Here is a 17,739-nt window from a genome sequence, read left to right on the forward strand (position 1 = left end):
CAGGAGTTCAAGGCCGCAGTGAGCTACAATGTTATCACTGCAATCCGGGATGGACAACAGAGTGAGAACCTGTGTCTAAAAAAGAAAAAATAAATGATAAGTGCTTGAACTGAAGGAAACCATAATTATTATTTATATTTTTGTTGATTTATGTAATTGTTTTTGTGTTGGAGTCTCACTCTGTCACCCAGGCTATAGTGCATGGTGCAATATAGGCTCACTGCAGCCTCAGGCTCCCAGGTTCAAAAGATTCTCCTGCCTGAGCCTCACAATTAACTGTAATATACTATGGGTTTGGGCCACCACACCCGGCTAATTTTTGTATTTTTGGTAGAAATGGGGGGTTTCATGGTGTTGGCCAGCCTGGTCTTGAACTCCTGACCTAAAGTGATCTACAAGCCTTGGCCTCCCAAAGAGCTGGAATTGAAGACTTGAGCCATCATGCCTGGACAGTAAGATACACAAGAGTACAGAGTTTTGTGTTTTCACTTCATCCTCACAATCCTACATTATAGGTGAATGAAAACACAACTTCATAACATGAATAACTCACTTTTAAATCAAAGTTGGTAATTTCTCTCTTTAAAATTATTTGCACCTTTACCTAATAAAAATTGAGATCTTGTCCAAATTTTACCAATTTACATGCTCATGCCTGTAATCTTAGCACTTTGGGAGTCCAAGAAGGGTGGATCAGGATTTTCAGAACACCCAGGCAATCATAGTGAAACCATGTCTGTATTAAAAATACAAAAAAAAAATAGCCAGCTGTGGTGCACACATATCTAATCCAGTTACTCAGAATGCTGAGGCAGGAGAATAACTTGGACCCAGAAGCTGGAGGTAGCAGTAAGCCAAGATGGAGCACTGCACCCCAACTTGGGCAACAAAACTACACTCCATCTCAAAAAAACAATTGATAAAGTCTCAACCATTCTAAATTATTTCTATTTGTAAGAACTTATTACTAAACCATTACTTACATCAAACATTGTCAAAACTTTCAAGAAAAAATTAATATGAGTACCTCCCCAGACAAAACACTTAGTTTCCACTATGTAAACTATGAACATTTAATTTCATTATGCTATGTACTTGAGAAACTTTGCTGGTTCACTTTTGTTTTATGTAAAAAAATAGTTTTCATTACCATTATCCCTCTTCAGCCACAGAATGCTTCAAGTAGAATATTACAGATGTCTTAAACTTTGGTATCTAGCACATCTAATTATCTCTTTTGTCATGTACTATTCCTCTAAAAAATAAACGTTTTATGGTGAGGGAGAGAGTTTTGGAGGCTTTCTCAAGACTTCTCAAATATTTTAAGCTTATATGTTTTTAGTGAGAAACAGCCTAATCAGAAAACTTGTGCAGCCTGCAAGGGAGACATATCACATGCCTAATTTTGTATATACTTATGTTCAAAGAAACAAAGGAAAATGTTCAACAAACAATACAATTTACTCTCCTATTAAATTTGCTTTTGATCATGTGCAGCTATGCAATAACATCAGTCATTTTGCATTACATGTAAAATTTTATGCTGAAAATGTTAATGTAGATATTACATCTAAACACACAGTTTTCAAATAGCATTAACAAGTATGATATTACTCTGAAAAAAGTTCCTTTTTCTTTGAATACCTCAGAAAATTCACAAAATCAACATGTTTCTTTCAGTAATGTGCATGTAACAATGCAGAAATAACATTTCAAGTTTCGATTTGCAAACAAGATTTGGTATGCAGTAACTATTATTTTGAATACTTGCTTTAAAATCCGCTTTAGTCGCCTTTTTCAGATTGACTTTCCCCACCATCTCCTGTAGATGGCACATAACTTGAACTACCATATGCTTCAAGAGGAGCAGAGTGCACCCTATCCAGAGAAGGTGGATTCCTTTGGTCTTTTCTGCCAATGTTCTCATGACCACAAGAATAAAAATCGCCATAGCTCCTTGAGCAACTTTCCTGACTTCTGCCGTATCTATCTCATGTATTGTTATAATCATGGCAGCTGCTTCCACCATAAGACATCCAAGGCCCTCGCTCAGGTGGTGCACCATGAGAGGTCCCTGCAGGGTTGATAAAATAATATGTTGGCATATTCAAGCAAAATGATTGAACATATCTGACATTAATACTGTGAGTGCTTGGTTTCAGAACCGAAACAATGTAAGAATAAATGTTATTCAACCTTATCCTCAAACAGTTACTACCTGGATGCAGCCAGAATGGCAAATAATCCACCCATTGAACCAATCTGAAAAGAATGCAGTCATATCCTGGACCCAGTCTGAAGGTGATGTCATCCAACCTTGGAACTATGCTGAAAGCAATACAGTCAGACTCTGGGCCCATTCTGAAACTGATAAAATAAAACAATGTACTGAGCCTGAAGCAATTAGGACCTGGCCTGAGGTGGGCATGTTAACACATTTGTTGAAGCAAAATCATTATGCTCAGTGACATTAGCCAGTTGCAGAAGAACACATACTGCATGATACTACTTACATGAGAAATATAAAATAGTCACACTCACAGAAACAGATTGTAGAATGGTGGTTTCCAGGGAGTAGGGGAAGGGGAAAATGAGTAGCTGCTAATCAATGGTGGTAAAGTTTTATTTACTGAGGATGACTACTTTTGGAGATCCACTGCACAATGTTGTGCCTATAGTTGACAATTCTGTATTGTACACATAAAAACTTGTTAAGAGGGTAGATCTCATGCTAATTTTTCTTATCACAAAGAAATTCAATTTACAAATCAGAGTTTCCAAATTGATCTTTCAGAATGCTTTAAAATGCAGGTCATATGTTAAAGCTCTTGGATATTTAATATTTCTAAACAGGATATCTCTAGGTAGAGTTGGGTCCTCTGGTTCCCAGTGAATTTAAATGGTTTAAGATTAAGTAACCAGAGATTGTGTAATTAAAACAGAAGGATGCTTCACCTCATTACTCTGGTTAATTGATGGTAAATTTCATCAACCAAGTATGTAAATAAATTTTGAATCATAACCCTTAAAACAGGAAATATAAGATAAAGTATGCTGTCTTTTCTACACAGCTATGTTTTTTTAATTTTATTTTAAAAAGGGAACTAATAGCTCTTGAGAGGGAAAGTATAAAGTCTCACTTTACAGTGGTGAGAAAGCATCCAAAATAATAATAATAATAATGATAATAATAATAATAATAGTAGTAATAATAAGTGAGATTGTTAAGAGAAAGCTAGATAAACCCCTAAATAAAAACCAGCTTTCTATAGACAGTATCAATCAAATCTCGGTATACCTTATAATCTGGTCACCTTAATTTAGATAAAATTGTTTCTGAAAATAGGTGAGTATATATAATATTTTTTAAATGATTAAGATCAAAAAGTATATGTTTTCTTTTATAACACAATGTCTCTGTAACTGGAAATTGTTCATCTCATTTACTAAAACAGGGAGCACTCAGTAGATTTAGAATACCTGAAAAATCATCTTTTTCTATATTAAAATTTAAAAAATAACAGAGATCGAACAATTAAGCCATACCTCTTAAAAAGCACATGGTTAGGCCAGCCGCGTTGGCTCATGCCTGTAATTCCAAAACTTTGGGAGGCTGAGGCGGGTGGATCACGAGGTCAGGAGTTCAAGACCAGCCTGACCAACACCATGAAACCCCATCTCCACTAAAAAACACAAATAAAAATTTAGCTGGATGTGGTTGTGCATGCCTGTAATCCTGACTACTTGGAACGCTGAGGCAGAAGAAACGCATGGACAGAGGTTGCAGTGAGCTGAGAATGCCCCACTGCACTCCAGCCTGGCAACAAAGCGAGACTCCATCTCAAAAACAAAACAAAACAGAACAAAAAAAGAAGCATCACATCATTGTCCAAGTCACCATGTCAGCAATTAAAATGCCTTTCTAGCATGGTATTTAGTGAACATGTAACATGAGACATTTAAAACTGCTCATAATTTACCTACAGGATTTTAGTTTCCCCAGATGATCTGCTAAGTTGATCAAGTAGATACAAATTTGGGGCCATATTAAGCATAAAAGTGTGTTTGAAAGATTCTAACAGTATTTGAGGAGCCATTAACAATTATTATGCAAGTATATATTAGGAACCTAAAAGTTTCTTCTTTTTTCTGCCATTTCGTCTTGCTAACATAGTCTAATGAGGTCCAGCATATTTCCTAGATTAAGAGACAGCAGTTATTCAGAACATCAATTTAACCACTCAGGAATAACAATTTTATAAGGTATCATAATTGTTTTCTTGGCTGAATCCCCAACTTGCAATGTTAGTGTGAAGATTTTATATTCATTAAGTTTGCTCCTATATTCATTTTATTGAGCTAAATGTGAGATAGAATGCTCACCAGAAGCGACTTTATCTGTTTTTTATGTGATTTTTATATTTTAAGTCTAGAGTCAATGTGTAGAAATCAAAATCCGTGGGAGTTTCTTAGAGGGACTGCTTTGATTCAATCAAGTCTCCTTAACATGCATTTCTTATGTGTCAAACTCTGAGTTAGGAGATCTGCCAGACAGATATGCAGAAAAAGAATCAGCTACATGCTCTGGTCTCAAAGAAAATGGCTTCAGCGTTAGATTGTTTACATAGTAATGGTCTAATGTATTATCTACACAGTAGTGATAAAAGTTAGAACTGGACATGGTAGATACATTAGATCTATTTGTTAAATAGACTTTATAAACATTTTCTGAACAAATGAACAAATGTACTTCAAAATGGAGGAATATGCAAATGTACTGAGAAGTCAAAAAAATAAGAGCTTGCATCTAATTTAGAGAGATTGTGGCTTGAATTTTGAGGAAATATTATCTTCCTTAGTGTAATATTGAAACAAAATGCAAAATAATAACACCTATCTATAACAAACCCCCAGCTGACATCATACTGAATGGGCAAAAATGGAATGATTCCTCTTGAGAACTGGCACAAGACAAGGATGCCCTCTCTCGCCACTTCTATACATAGTACTGAAAATCCTAGTAAGAGCAATCAGGCAGAAGAAAGAAAAGAAAGCATCCAAATAGGAAGATAAGAGGTCAAACTACCTCTCTTTAGTGGTGAAAATGATTCTATATATAGAAAACACTAAACACTCCACCAAAAGCCTCCTGTAAATAATAAGCAACTTCAGTAAAGCTTCAGAAAACAAACTCAATGTATAAAAATCAGTAGCATTTCTATATACCAATAATGTTGATGCTGAGAACCAAATCAAGAACACAATCCCATTTCCAGTAATCAAAAAAAAAAAAAAAAAAGAAAAGAAAAGAAACACTTAGGAATTCACCTGACCCAAGAGGTGGATAGTTCTACAAGGAGAACTACAAAACACTGCTGAAAGAAATGAGAGATGACATAAATGAAAGAAAAAAATATTCTTACTCTTGGATTGGAAAAATCATTATTGTTAAAATGGTCACACAGGCTAAAGTAATTTACAGATTCAATGTTATCCCTATCAAAATACAAATAATATTTTTCATAGAATTAGAAAAAACTATTTTAAAATTCATATGTAACCACAAAAGAGCCCAAATAGCCAAAGCAATCCTAAACAAAAAGAGCAAAGTCGGAGGCATCACATTACATGACTTCAAACTATACCATAAAGCTACAGTAACAAAACCAGCATGGTATTGGTACAAAAAGAGAAATATACACTAATAAATAGATTATAGAACCCAGAAATAAAGGCACAAACCTGTAAGTACCAGATCTTTGACAAAATCAATAAATATATGCGATAAGGAAATGTCTCCCTATTCAATAATAGGTGCTGGGATAAACTGGTGAGCAATATGCAGAAGAGTAAAACTAGACTCGTTCCTTATATAATGCACAAAATGCAACTCAAGATGGATTAAAGATTTAAATATAACACCTCAAACTATTGAAAATTCTAGAAAACCTAGAAAATACCCTTCTCAACATCAGCTTTGGCAAATAATTTTTGGCTAGGTCCCCAAAAGCAATTGCAACAAAACCAAAAATTGACAAGAGTGTCATAGTTAAAATAAAGAGCCTCTGTACAGCAAAATAAACTGTCAGTGATATAAACACACACCATGCATGTGACAAAGGTCTAATATTCAGAAACTAAAATAAATTTAAATCATAAAGTAAAAACCAAAAAATACACTTAAAAATGGGCAACAGGCATGAAGAAACACTTCTGGAAGAAAACATACAAGTGGCCAAAAAACGTGAAAAAATGCTCAACATCACTATGCATTAGAGAAAAAGAAATCCAAATCAAAATGAGATACCATCTCACACCAGTCAGAATGACTATTCCTAAAATGCCAAAAAATAACACATGCTGGTGAGGTTGTAGGAAAAAAAAGGAATGCTTATGCAATGTTGACAGGAATATAAACTAGTTAAGCCACTCTGGAAAGCAGTTTTGGGATTTCACAAACTACTTAAAACAAAACTACCATTCAGCCCAGCAATTCCATTATTGAGTATATACCCAAAAGAAAACAAATTTTTCTACAAAAAAGACACATGGAGTGGCATCTTGACTGCAGCACTATTCACGATAGAAAAAGACATGGAATCAACCTAGGTGCCCACCAATGGTGGAGTGGATAAAGAAAATGTGGTACACATACACAATGGAAAAATACACAGCCACAACAAAGAACAAAATCATATCCTTTCTAGCAACATGGATGCAACTGAAGGCCATTATCTTAAGCAGATTAATTCAAGAACAGAAAACAAGATACCACACATGCTCTCTGATCAAGCATCTGATCTTTAAAAAAATTGATAAATGTAAGCAAGGAGGAAATGACTTCCTATTCAATAAATGATGTCGGGATAAACAGGTGATCCATATGCAGAAGATAGAAATTGGACCCATCTAGTAGTATCCCCTGTCTATTCTTTCCATTTTTATATCTATGTGTATACAATAATTTGTATACATTGTAAACATCATATACAGATAGACATAAAGATGGGAACCAGAGGCAGTGGGGACTACTAGATGGGGAAAGGAGGGAAGGGGGCATAGGCTATAAGAACACCTGTTGGGTATTATGCTCACTACCTGGGTGACAGGATCACTTGTACCCCAGTCCTCAACATCACAGTATACCCATGTAAGTACACCTCCACACATACACAATTTTATCTATGGTAAAATGCTGCACACACAGCATTTTGTCTATAATAAAAGTTGAAATTGTAAAAAATAAAATAAAATTTTAATATGACTCAATTCATTAAAAATACTGTTGTAAACTATAACTCTTTAAAATCTTATACCCTTGACAGTTCTTTTGAAATAAACATGTTATTTGCTGTAGATGTAAATATTTACAGTATATGTCAGAAATTACAGAATATTGAAAAGAAAAATAGAAAATATAATAAGAGTATGAGATCATAAAAAAAAAATCATCTGTTTCTGCCTGGGTCTGGCCCATGGGGAACTAAAAGAATGATGATTAAGGGTGTGAGTGTCTTACTAATACAGACCTCAAAGGCTATGATGTCATTCCAAACATCTTAGTTTCTATTAATAACACAACGTAGTTACTTATCCATGAACTTAGTTAAGCATCTTTTCACTATCCATTACCTTTTAAAGTAATGTAGTTTTGTAAGATGGAAAATTTCCTTCTTCTTTTGCATTTCTCTCTTCAAGGTTAATTTATGTGAAATGCTATTCATAACGCATGAATATATAAAAAATATAGTGTGAATGATGCTATCATTCTTAAGTAGCTTAAAGTTCTACATCATTTTTATAGACGTTATCATATTTATGTATTTGTTTTTTTAATTCCAATTTATGAAGTTCTATGTACAATGTACTGGAACTATATATTGGGGACACAAAGACAAGCAAGACAGATATGGTATCTGCCCTAGTGGAACTTATAGACCAATTACAAGTAGATAAACATATAGATTGTTTTGAGAACAATGAAGGAAGGAAACGTTATTTGATATTAGAGCCCATGGGACAGGACGGGAAGTGTGGATTAGTGGACAGAAAAGTGTTCTTTGAAGAGATGAAATTTAAGCTGATATCTGAAGGATAAGAAGGAGCTATTCACTCAAAAAACAAACACAAGAATGTGCCAGATAAAAAGAAACAACAGCCGGGTGCAGTGGCTCACTCCTGTAATCCCAGCCTAGCACTTTGGGAGGCCGAGGTGGGTGGATCATGATGTCAAGAGATTGAGACCATCCTGTCCAACATGTCAATACCCTGTCTCTACTAAAAGTACAAAAATTAGCTGGGTGTGGGGTCACACGCCTATAGTCCCAGCCACTCGGGAGGCTGAGGCAGGAGAATCGCTTGAACCCAACAGGCAGATGTTTCAGTGAGCCAAGATCACACCACTGTACTCCAGCCTGGGGACAGAAAAAGACCCTATCTCAAAAAAAAAAAAAATGTGCAAATACTTCAAAGTCAGACACTTATTGGTATGTTATAGGAACAGATAAAAAGGTCAATGTCAGAAAAATAAAGGGGGGATATTCTATGGGTGTGAGATGAAGTTTGAGAGAAATAGCACAGCTCATGCAGAAGTGGAATGATACTGAAAGATTTCTGATTTATGCAGAAGTGTGTACTGACATGATTTAATTCTTAAAATTGTTCTGAATATTATAAGGAGAATGAATTCAAGAGAAGGAGTTGGAAAAGGAAGATGTTTATAAATATAAAAGTATATTTAAGTAGTTCAAGCAAGAAATGCAGAGGTGGCTTAGCTTAGTGGAGGTAGAAATTTAAATGGAATTGAAGAGATATTTGCAGGTATATCTGGTAGGGTAAAATTATAATTATATGTTAACTCGTGTTTCTTTCCTTCCAGACTGGTGCCCATGTAGGGATCATCGATGTTATATTAATCTCTGAATTTTCATTCCCATCTGTGCATATTCTATGAAAAATATTTTTCCATAATTTGAAGTATCTGATGCATGGAAGACATTCTTGAAATCTGTAAATAGATGAATAAGTTTGTTATCTATACTGGAATTGCCCTCTCTGTGCCCTAAAATTACTTTTATTTCTTCCTTCAAGAGAGACCTACTGGTTTTGATATAATACAATGTGGTAAACATGGCTACACCCTGTTTCTCCACCCCCCCTTCAAGATATTTCAGATTTCAATAATATATGTTCAGTATTTTTATCTTTCAGGTGAAAGACACACAGTCTTTTGATTCTTATATGGCACTTCTTTCTTTTCAATGATCACTTCTGTTGCCTTCCTCTGAATTTTCACCTCATTTATCTCTTATTTGACATGTGATAATACTATGTTCCTGGCGTGCATGCACCACAATCCTGTATGTCAATTAGATGCTGCATTTTGGCTGATTCCAATATATTTTCTAATAAAGCTTAATATTTTCTAGAATTTGTTTTTTTCTAAAAAAACAGGGCCCAAAGACATACAAATTTTTCTTGTTAAATGATGAGTTGATGGGTGCAGCACACCAACATGGCACATGTATACATACATAACTAACCTGCATGTTGTGCTCATGTACCCTAAAACTTAAAGTATAATAATAAAAAAGTAACAGTTCACAGCTTGAAATAGAATTGTGAGAATTTTTTTCTTGCCCTTGTCAATAATGAATCTTATCTATAATTTTGTTCCTTTTTGATGTAGCCTTATGTAATTTTCTTGCATTCTGTCCCTGTCAGTTTGGCATCTCACTATCCCCAGAAGAGGTTAGTGTCAATTGCATTCTTTCCTGCAAATCACTTATAAAAACTGTCAGATTATACTGAACCCTGGGAATTTCTCCATTTGTACTTTCTGTCCAAAGCAATTTTCCCTTATTATTTTCTTCTTGTTTTGTAAGGCAATTGTCTATTCATGGCAAAAACAGGCTTGTCAACTTCACGGTAACTCCAGTTGAAGCTTATGTGAAGGTACTTTGGAAATGAAAATAATATATTTGCTTGTTATATTTTGTTCATTTATTAGGTATTCACAGTTATTTATGAAGTGCTCAATCATGTTAATCACCTGAACATGATTATACTTATAGAAAGCACATTCTCTTTTCATGAATGTGTTGTGTCTTCTTGAATAAAGCAGGTAATCTATATATCTATCTCCCACTAACTTGCCTCATATCCAGGTAAGATTTGTCATTCTTAACTTTAGAATCTCCACTGAAACTCTTATAGATGCCAACTATCATCCTTTCATCATTTTTAATGACTATTTACATTTTTTGACTAATAGCTCCACAATGCCACCCTTGGATTCTTTTAAAATTTTTGGTGCATTTAATTTAAGTTACTGATTAAATCTCTAACATGCTATAATTTTATTATTATTATTTGAGATGGAGTCTCACCTTGTTGCCCAGGCTGGAGTACAGTGGCACAATCTCTGTTCACTGCAACCTCCACCTCCCAGGTTCAAGCAGTTCTCCTGCCTCAGCCTCCTGAGTAGCTGGGAGTACAGTTGACCACCACCATGCACATCTAATTTTTGTAATTTTTGTATAGATGGGGTTTCACCATGCTGCTCTTGAATTCCTGACCTCAGAGAATCTGCCCACCTCAGCCTCTCTCCCTGCTTTATTATTTATTTAAATCATTTTCTGAAGCTATTTTCTCATTTAGAAGGTGTCTTCTTTGACCTTTTAAAGATTACTTACACATTTAATTACTTAACATTTATTGAATGGCTACTAAGGATTGGGAGCTTAGCAGTGAACAAGGTAGGTAGAAATTTCTGCCTTTGTGGAGTTTATATTCTTTTAGAGTTGACAGACAATAAAAGTAGATAGGGGGATACTACTTAATACAGAGGGTTTAGGAAAAGTTTTTCTAAAAATATAACATTTTATCAGGCACCTGAATGATGGGAGGGCCTGAGTGATGTGAGGAAGCTGTGTAGTTATCTGGAGAAAAGGGAGTTCCAGGTAGAGGGAACAACAAGTGCATAGGCTCTGATATAGGCATGTGCTTGGCTTGTTCAATGAACAGCAAGGAGTCTATTGCTACAGAAACAAAGTAAGTGAGTAGGAGAGTGGTAGGAAATGAGAACTAGGGACTTAGCCAGAGCCCAGATGATGCAAGACCTTATAGACCACATTGAGGAGGTTAAATTTTATTCTTGGTAAGATAAGAAACCATCTGATGGTTTTAAGCATGGGGGGATCATAATAGCACTTGTTTAAAAATGAAACTCTCATTACAGTGTGTATAGAATACATTGGGGCATGGGACAGTGGAAGCCATAAAACAAATTAGGAAGCTATTAGTGTAGGCAATTCAGAAAAGAAACAATTATGACGTGAACATGGGTGTCAGTGTAAGTCATCAGATTATGAATGTATTTTGAAGATGTGCCAGGCTGCATATGCTGATGGACTAATTGTGTAGTGTAAGAGAAAGCTAAAAAATTATTCCAAGTTTTTTTTTTTTTTTTTTTTTTTTTGAGACGGAGTCTCGCTCTGTCGCCCAGGCTGGAGTGCAGTGGCGGGATCTCGGCTCACTGCAAGCTCCGCCAAGTTTTAAGCCTAGGCATTTGCCAGCATGGAGTTGAAGTTTAATGAGATAAGGAAGACTATGGGAAGAGCAGAGCGTTGCTGGGGAGTTGTGAAAGGATCATGCTTGGATTATGTTAGCATTTAGGAGCCTATTGGACATCCAAATAGAGAGGTAAATCGGCTCAATATACATGTTCAGATTTGGGAGATAATTCTGGGCTAAAATTGCACATTGGCAAGTTGAGAGCTACTAGTATGCAGATGGTATTTAAAACTATGTGACTTGTTGAGATAATCTCAAGAGTGAATATAAACAGAAAAGAAAAGAGGATTCCTTCTGGGATGAGTCCCAGGGCACCCAATTGTTTTGAGGTTTATGAAAGAAATCAGGAAGAGTCTTAGAAGGAGTTGTCAGGGAGGTAGGAGGAAAATTAAGAGAGTAGTGGCCCAGAAGACAAATGATGGAAATGTTGCAAGAAAGAGGGTGTGATCTGTGATGTCAAATGTGACTGGAAGTTGAATAAGATGAGGAATGAGACTTGACCATGGGACATGGCAAGAGGGTGGTTATGGTCTCCTTGAAAAAAACTGTTTAAAAATGGAATAATGAGATCCAAAGTGTAACTGGAGTAGACTAGGGAGTTAATTTGAAACCAAAAATATAGATAACACTTTTGAAGGGTTTTTCTCTAAAGAGGAGCAGGTTGAATGAAGGAATAAAGTAAAACAATAGTCGGGATTGAATGCCTGGGAGTGAGTGACATTAATGAAGAGGAATTAATAGAGACAGTCAATGTGTTGGTAGTCCCATTGTGGTCAAATAATTGTTTTCAAGGCACTAGAGGGAGTGAGAAGAATATGAGGTGGCAGATAATGACATAAAATATTGATACTTTGGAGAAGATAAAAATTTAAATAATGACAATGTCTGAGAAATAACCATAGGCATATATCACTAAGGTTGGATGGATGACATTTGGATTGAAATTACATCAGAGAAATCATATTCTTTGAGGAATTTTCTAAGATATAGGTGTTGAAGCCACTAAGAATGGTGAGAGGCATATAAATTATTTAGGGGACAAATCGTTCAATAAATGGTAAGAAAAATAGAGAAGGCTTCATAGTTAAAACAAGAATTGCAATTGGTATGATTTGATGGCTTACACTATACAGGATCTGGGGATTTTGAAGTGAGACATGAAAGGTTTGAAAATGGCAATAGAAATAGGAAGACATCCACTCCAATCTCTGAGCCTACAGATATGAGGAGTGTAAGAAAGAAAACAACTTTCACTTACAGCGGTAAATGGGAATCAGGGTTCTGAAGGGTAATGTAAAATCAAGTTAGAGAATATATATAAGATAAACATTATGAAGGGAGATTTAGAATAAAATAGATATGGTTAATAATAGACAGAGAGTTCCAAGGTATACAGTGAAAGATTATTTGGGCTTAGAACACTGTGGAGATGGAAGATGAACTGAGAGTCTTGGCCTGTTGTGGTGCAAGTTTCAGGATGTAATATAATCAACAGGCATTTATGTGTATTTGATAACATTTCATAAAGCCCATTATTTAAAAAAAATCAACTTTTATTGAGATATAGTGTGTAAATGTGCAGATTTGTTACATGGGTATATTATGTGATGCTGAAGTTTGGGTTACAGATCCTGTCACCCAGGTAGTGAAGATAGTACAAAATAGGTAGTTTTTCAACCCATCCTGCCTCCCTCCCCCATCTAGTAGTCTGCAGTGTCTAGTGTTCCTATTTTATGTCTGTGTTTTGAATGTTTAGCTTCCAAATATAAGTGAGAACGTATATTTGGTTTTCTGTTCCTGTATTCATCTGCTTATGATTATGGCCTCCAGCTGCATCTATGTCAATGCAAAGGGAATGGTTTTGTTGTTCCTTGTGTCTGTGTAGCACTCCACGGTTTATATGTACCACGGTTTCTTGATCCAATCCACAATTTTTGAGCACCTATGTTGATTCCATGTCTTTGCTATTGTGAATAGTGCTGTGATGAAAAAACAAGTACGTGTATCTTTTTTGTAGAATAATTTATTTTATTTTAGTTATTTACACATCAATGGGATTGCTGGATCCAATGATATTTTCATTATAAGTACTTTGAGAAATCTCCAAACTGCTTCTGATAGTGGATGAACTAATTTACATTCTCACCAACAGAGTATAAGTCTTCTCTTTTCTTGATAACTTAACCAGCATCTGTTGCTTTTTGACTTTTTAATAACAGCCATTGTAACTGGTGTGAGATATTTTGATGTGTTTTTTATTTGTATTTCTCTGATGATTAGTGATGATGAACATTTTTTCATATGTTTCTTGGCCACTTGTACATATCTTTTGAGAAGTGTCTGTTCATGTCTTTTGCTCATTATTTAATGGTTTTTTTTGTGCTTATTGATTTGTTTAATTTCCTTATAGATTCTTTATATTACACCTATTAGTCCTTTGTCTAATGCATAGCTTGAGAATAAATTCTCTCATTCTCTACGTTTCCTGTTTACTCTGTTGATAGCTTTGTTTGTGGTGAACAAACTTTTTAGTTTCATTAAGTCCTGTCAGGCCTCTGAGCCCAAGCTAAACCATCATGTGACATGCACATATAAGCCCAGATGGCCCAAAGCAAGTGAAGAATCACAAAAGTGAAAATGGCCTGTTCCTTCCTTAACTGATAATATTCCACCACAAAAGAAGTCAAACTGGCCAGTCCTTGCTTTAACTGATGACATTACCTTGTGAAATTCCTTCTCCTGGCTCATCCTGTCTCAAAAGCTCCCCGACAGAGCACCTTGTGACCCCCACCCCTGCCCACCAGAGAACAACCCCGCTTTGACTGTAATTTTCCTTTACCTACCCAAATCTTATGAAACTGCCCCACCCCTATCTCCTTTCACTGACTCTCTTTTTGGACTCAGTCTGCCTGCATCCAAGTGAAATAAAAAGCCTTGTTGCTCACACAAATCCTGTTTGGTGGTCTCTTCACGTGGACGTGAGTGAAAAGTCCCTCTTATTAATTTTTGTTTTTGTTGCAGTTGCTTTGGGGAACTTAGCCAGAAATTCTTTGCCAAAGCTAATGTTCAAGAATGGTACTTCCTAAGTTTTCTTGTAGGACTTTTATAATATGTAATCTTACATTTATATATTTAATTGATATTAAGTTAATTTTTGTATATTGTCAAAGTAGGGGTCCAGTTTAATTCTTCTGCATATGGCTAACCAGGTATCTACACACTGTTTTAAAATTAGATGTTATATCTTAAAATTGATTGTGCCTTAGAATCAAGAAAGGATAGGCATTAGCATCAATAAATCAGTTTGAAATGGTTTAGATGAGAGGTCAGAAAACTGTAGCCCAAAGTCTATATGCAACATGATGCCTGCTTTTATAAGTAATATTTTACTGGAATGTAGCCCCATTTGTTAATTACTATTATCTATGACTGCTTTGCAGTAATATGACAGAGTTGATAAGTGTAACAGAATTTGTATGGCCTGCAAAGGTGAAAATATTTATTATCTGTTCCTTTGTAGAAAAAAAGTTTATCAAATTTTGATCCAGATATATATCCATTGAATTGAACTGCAGAAATATTGTTTTAATGTAAATTTATTTTATGTACCCCTTCCAGAGCCTCTTATTTAGTCAGTCTGGCATATATCCTAGGATGCTGTGCACTTCAGAATTGCCCCCAAGTAATTCTAATGCAGAATAATTAAGGAACAAACTTAAAGGCACTTTATTATGGATCAGGCTTGCTCAAATTTTCTTGCTGCTAAGAATATTCTTGGTTGACTGACAAATATATAGCTTTCCAGCCTCCTTACCTGGAGATTGTGATTCAGTCACTCGGAGGCCTGGCCAAGTGTAGTTTGGTAAATCACGTATGTGGGGTGATTTTTATCTTCAGAAAAGTTTAGGAAACTTTGGAATGGATTCTCTGTTTAACCAGGAGCTATGCCTGCAATTCAAGTAAACTGTACTTGATGACTGTGTATTCTTTCTGTAAGCATTGTTAGGCACTGAACTACTTTCTAAGGGAGTACCAGTCAATCATCCACTGTAGTTCAAAAAAGATAGCCCTTGCTCATTGCTTGATATTTTATTTTTTATATTACTCCATTTAATCATTTATCAAGCTCTATAGTTCCTACCTTCAATGAGCTTGTTAATGGGGAAAGAGGGCAGATATTAAATAAACAGTCACATTAAGAAAGGAGACCACCCCTTATATTGTCTTATACCCAATTTCTGCCTCCAAAGAAAGCAGAAGTAAAAACTAAAATGCAGAAATAAAATCCACAAGCAGACAGTCCAGTGCCACACCCTGGGCCTGATAGTTAAAGATCAACCCCTGACCTAATAGGTTATGTTATCTATAGATTACAGACATTGTATAGAAACGCACTGTGAAAATCCCTGTCCTGTTTTGTTCCGATCTAATTACTTGTGCATGCAGCCCCTAGTCATGTACCCCCTGCTTGCTCAATCAATCGAGACCCTCTCACAGGCACCCCCTTAGAGTTGTGAGCCCTTAAAAGGGACAGGAATTTCTCACTCAGGGAGCTCAGCTCTTGAGACAGGAGTCTTACTGATGCTCCCAGTTGAATAAACTGCTTCCTTCTTTAACTCGGTGTCTGAGGGGTTTTGTCTGTGGCATGTCCTGCTACATTTCTTGGTTCCCTCACCAAGAAGCAAGATGATTAATGGAGAGTTGAGTCAGCTCCTTAGGTGGCTTAGGTCTGCCCTGTGGAGCATCCCTGTGGGGGACTCTGGCCCACTGGAGGGATGCAGATCCTGAGAGTGCTCCCAGGTAGGCAATTGCCCTGGTGGAATGCTTTGCCAAAGCGGTGCATGGCAGGGCCCTGTGGAGTATCAACACAGTGCCTGCACACCGGGAAGGAACTGGCACTTGGAGTCCAGATAACTGAAACTTGGTAAGACTAGTCTTGGGAACTTGCCCACTCCATTTCAGTGGAAGCGTGGCCTGATAACCCATGGTGTGTCTGTACAGCACTTTGTTTTTTCTTTTTGACTTGACTTGGATTGCTTGAGACTTTGGTTTTGGATTTGACCTCACTTGGATTTCTTGATACTCTGATTTTGGTTTTGATTCTGGTTTGGTGTAAACTGTAAAAGTGTGTGTGTGCCCTTTTTACCCATTCTTTGTTTTATGGTGTGCGTGTGGTGTAAGCATGGTGTATTGTCTAGAGGAAACGTGGATCAGGCACAAACTAAGCCCACCCCACTAGGAACTATGTTGAAAATTTTCAAAAAGGGATTTAGGGGAGACTATGAAGTCACCATGACACCAGAAAAACTTAGAACTTTGTGTGAGATAGACTGGCCAGCATTAGAGGTGTGTTGGCCATCAGAAGGAAGCCTGGGCATGTCCCTTGTCTCAAAGGTATGGCACAGGGTAACCTGTAAGTTAGGGCACCTGGATCAGTCCCATATATAGATTCTTTGTTACAGTTGGTTTTGGAGCCCCCACAGTAGTTAAGAGGACAGGCAGCAGCAGTAGTAGTAGCAAAGGGAGAGTTAGTTAAGGAAGGTTCTTTCTCCACCCACAGAGGGAAGTCGGCACCAAAAGTCCTGTCCGACCCAACACCAGAAGAATCATGGCAGGAATTGATACCAGAAGTACCCACTCCTTATCAAGAGGAAGTGTTCCCCACCCCTAAGCCCACAGCACCTCCACCTTCACCAGATAACCACACCCCTAGACCACCCAGACTAGACAAAAGAGGAAGAGAAACTGCAGGAGAAACTCCTCCCTTGGCAGCTAGCTTACAGCCTGAGACTGGAATCCAAATGTCCCTGAGAGAGCACCAATGTACTGGGGTAGATGAGGATGGACACATGTTGGAAAGGCGTGCCTTTGTATTTCAACCTTTCATCTCTACTGACCTCCTCAATTGGAAAAATAATATTCTATCTTACACTGAAAAGCCTCAAGCTTTAACTGACTTGCTCCAAACCATTGTACAGACTCATAATCCTACTTGGGCTGATTGCCACCAGCTGCTTATGTACCTCTTTAATATAGATGAAAGGCAAAGGGTGCTCCAGGTGGGAACTAAGTGGCTAGAAGAGCATGTCCTAGCTGATTACCAAAACCCCCAAGAGTATATAAGAATTCAACTGCCAGGAACAGACCCCCAGTGGGACCGGAATG

The 17,739-nt window shown here is 36.6% G+C and overlaps 1 long non-coding RNA gene across 1 annotated transcript in view; it reads right to left on the minus strand.

Moving 5' to 3' along the window:
- The window catches only part of TTTY11 (testis expressed transcript, Y-linked 11), a 34,070-nt gene that overhangs the window by 3,916 nt on the left and 12,415 nt on the right, over nt 1-17,739 (minus strand). Inside the window, exons 2-3 of the long non-coding RNA NR_001548.2 lie at nt 7,633-7,716; nt 1,772-2,074 (exon numbers count right to left, since the gene is read on the minus strand). This is a non-coding gene — a long non-coding RNA (testis expressed transcript, Y-linked 11). The remainder of the gene's footprint in view (nt 1-1,771; nt 2,075-7,632; nt 7,717-17,739) is intronic.

This window comes from Homo sapiens, chromosome Y (genome assembly GCF_000001405.40).
Source record: "Homo sapiens chromosome Y, GRCh38.p14 Primary Assembly".
Classification (NCBI taxonomy): domain Eukaryota; kingdom Metazoa; phylum Chordata; class Mammalia; order Primates; family Hominidae; genus Homo; species Homo sapiens.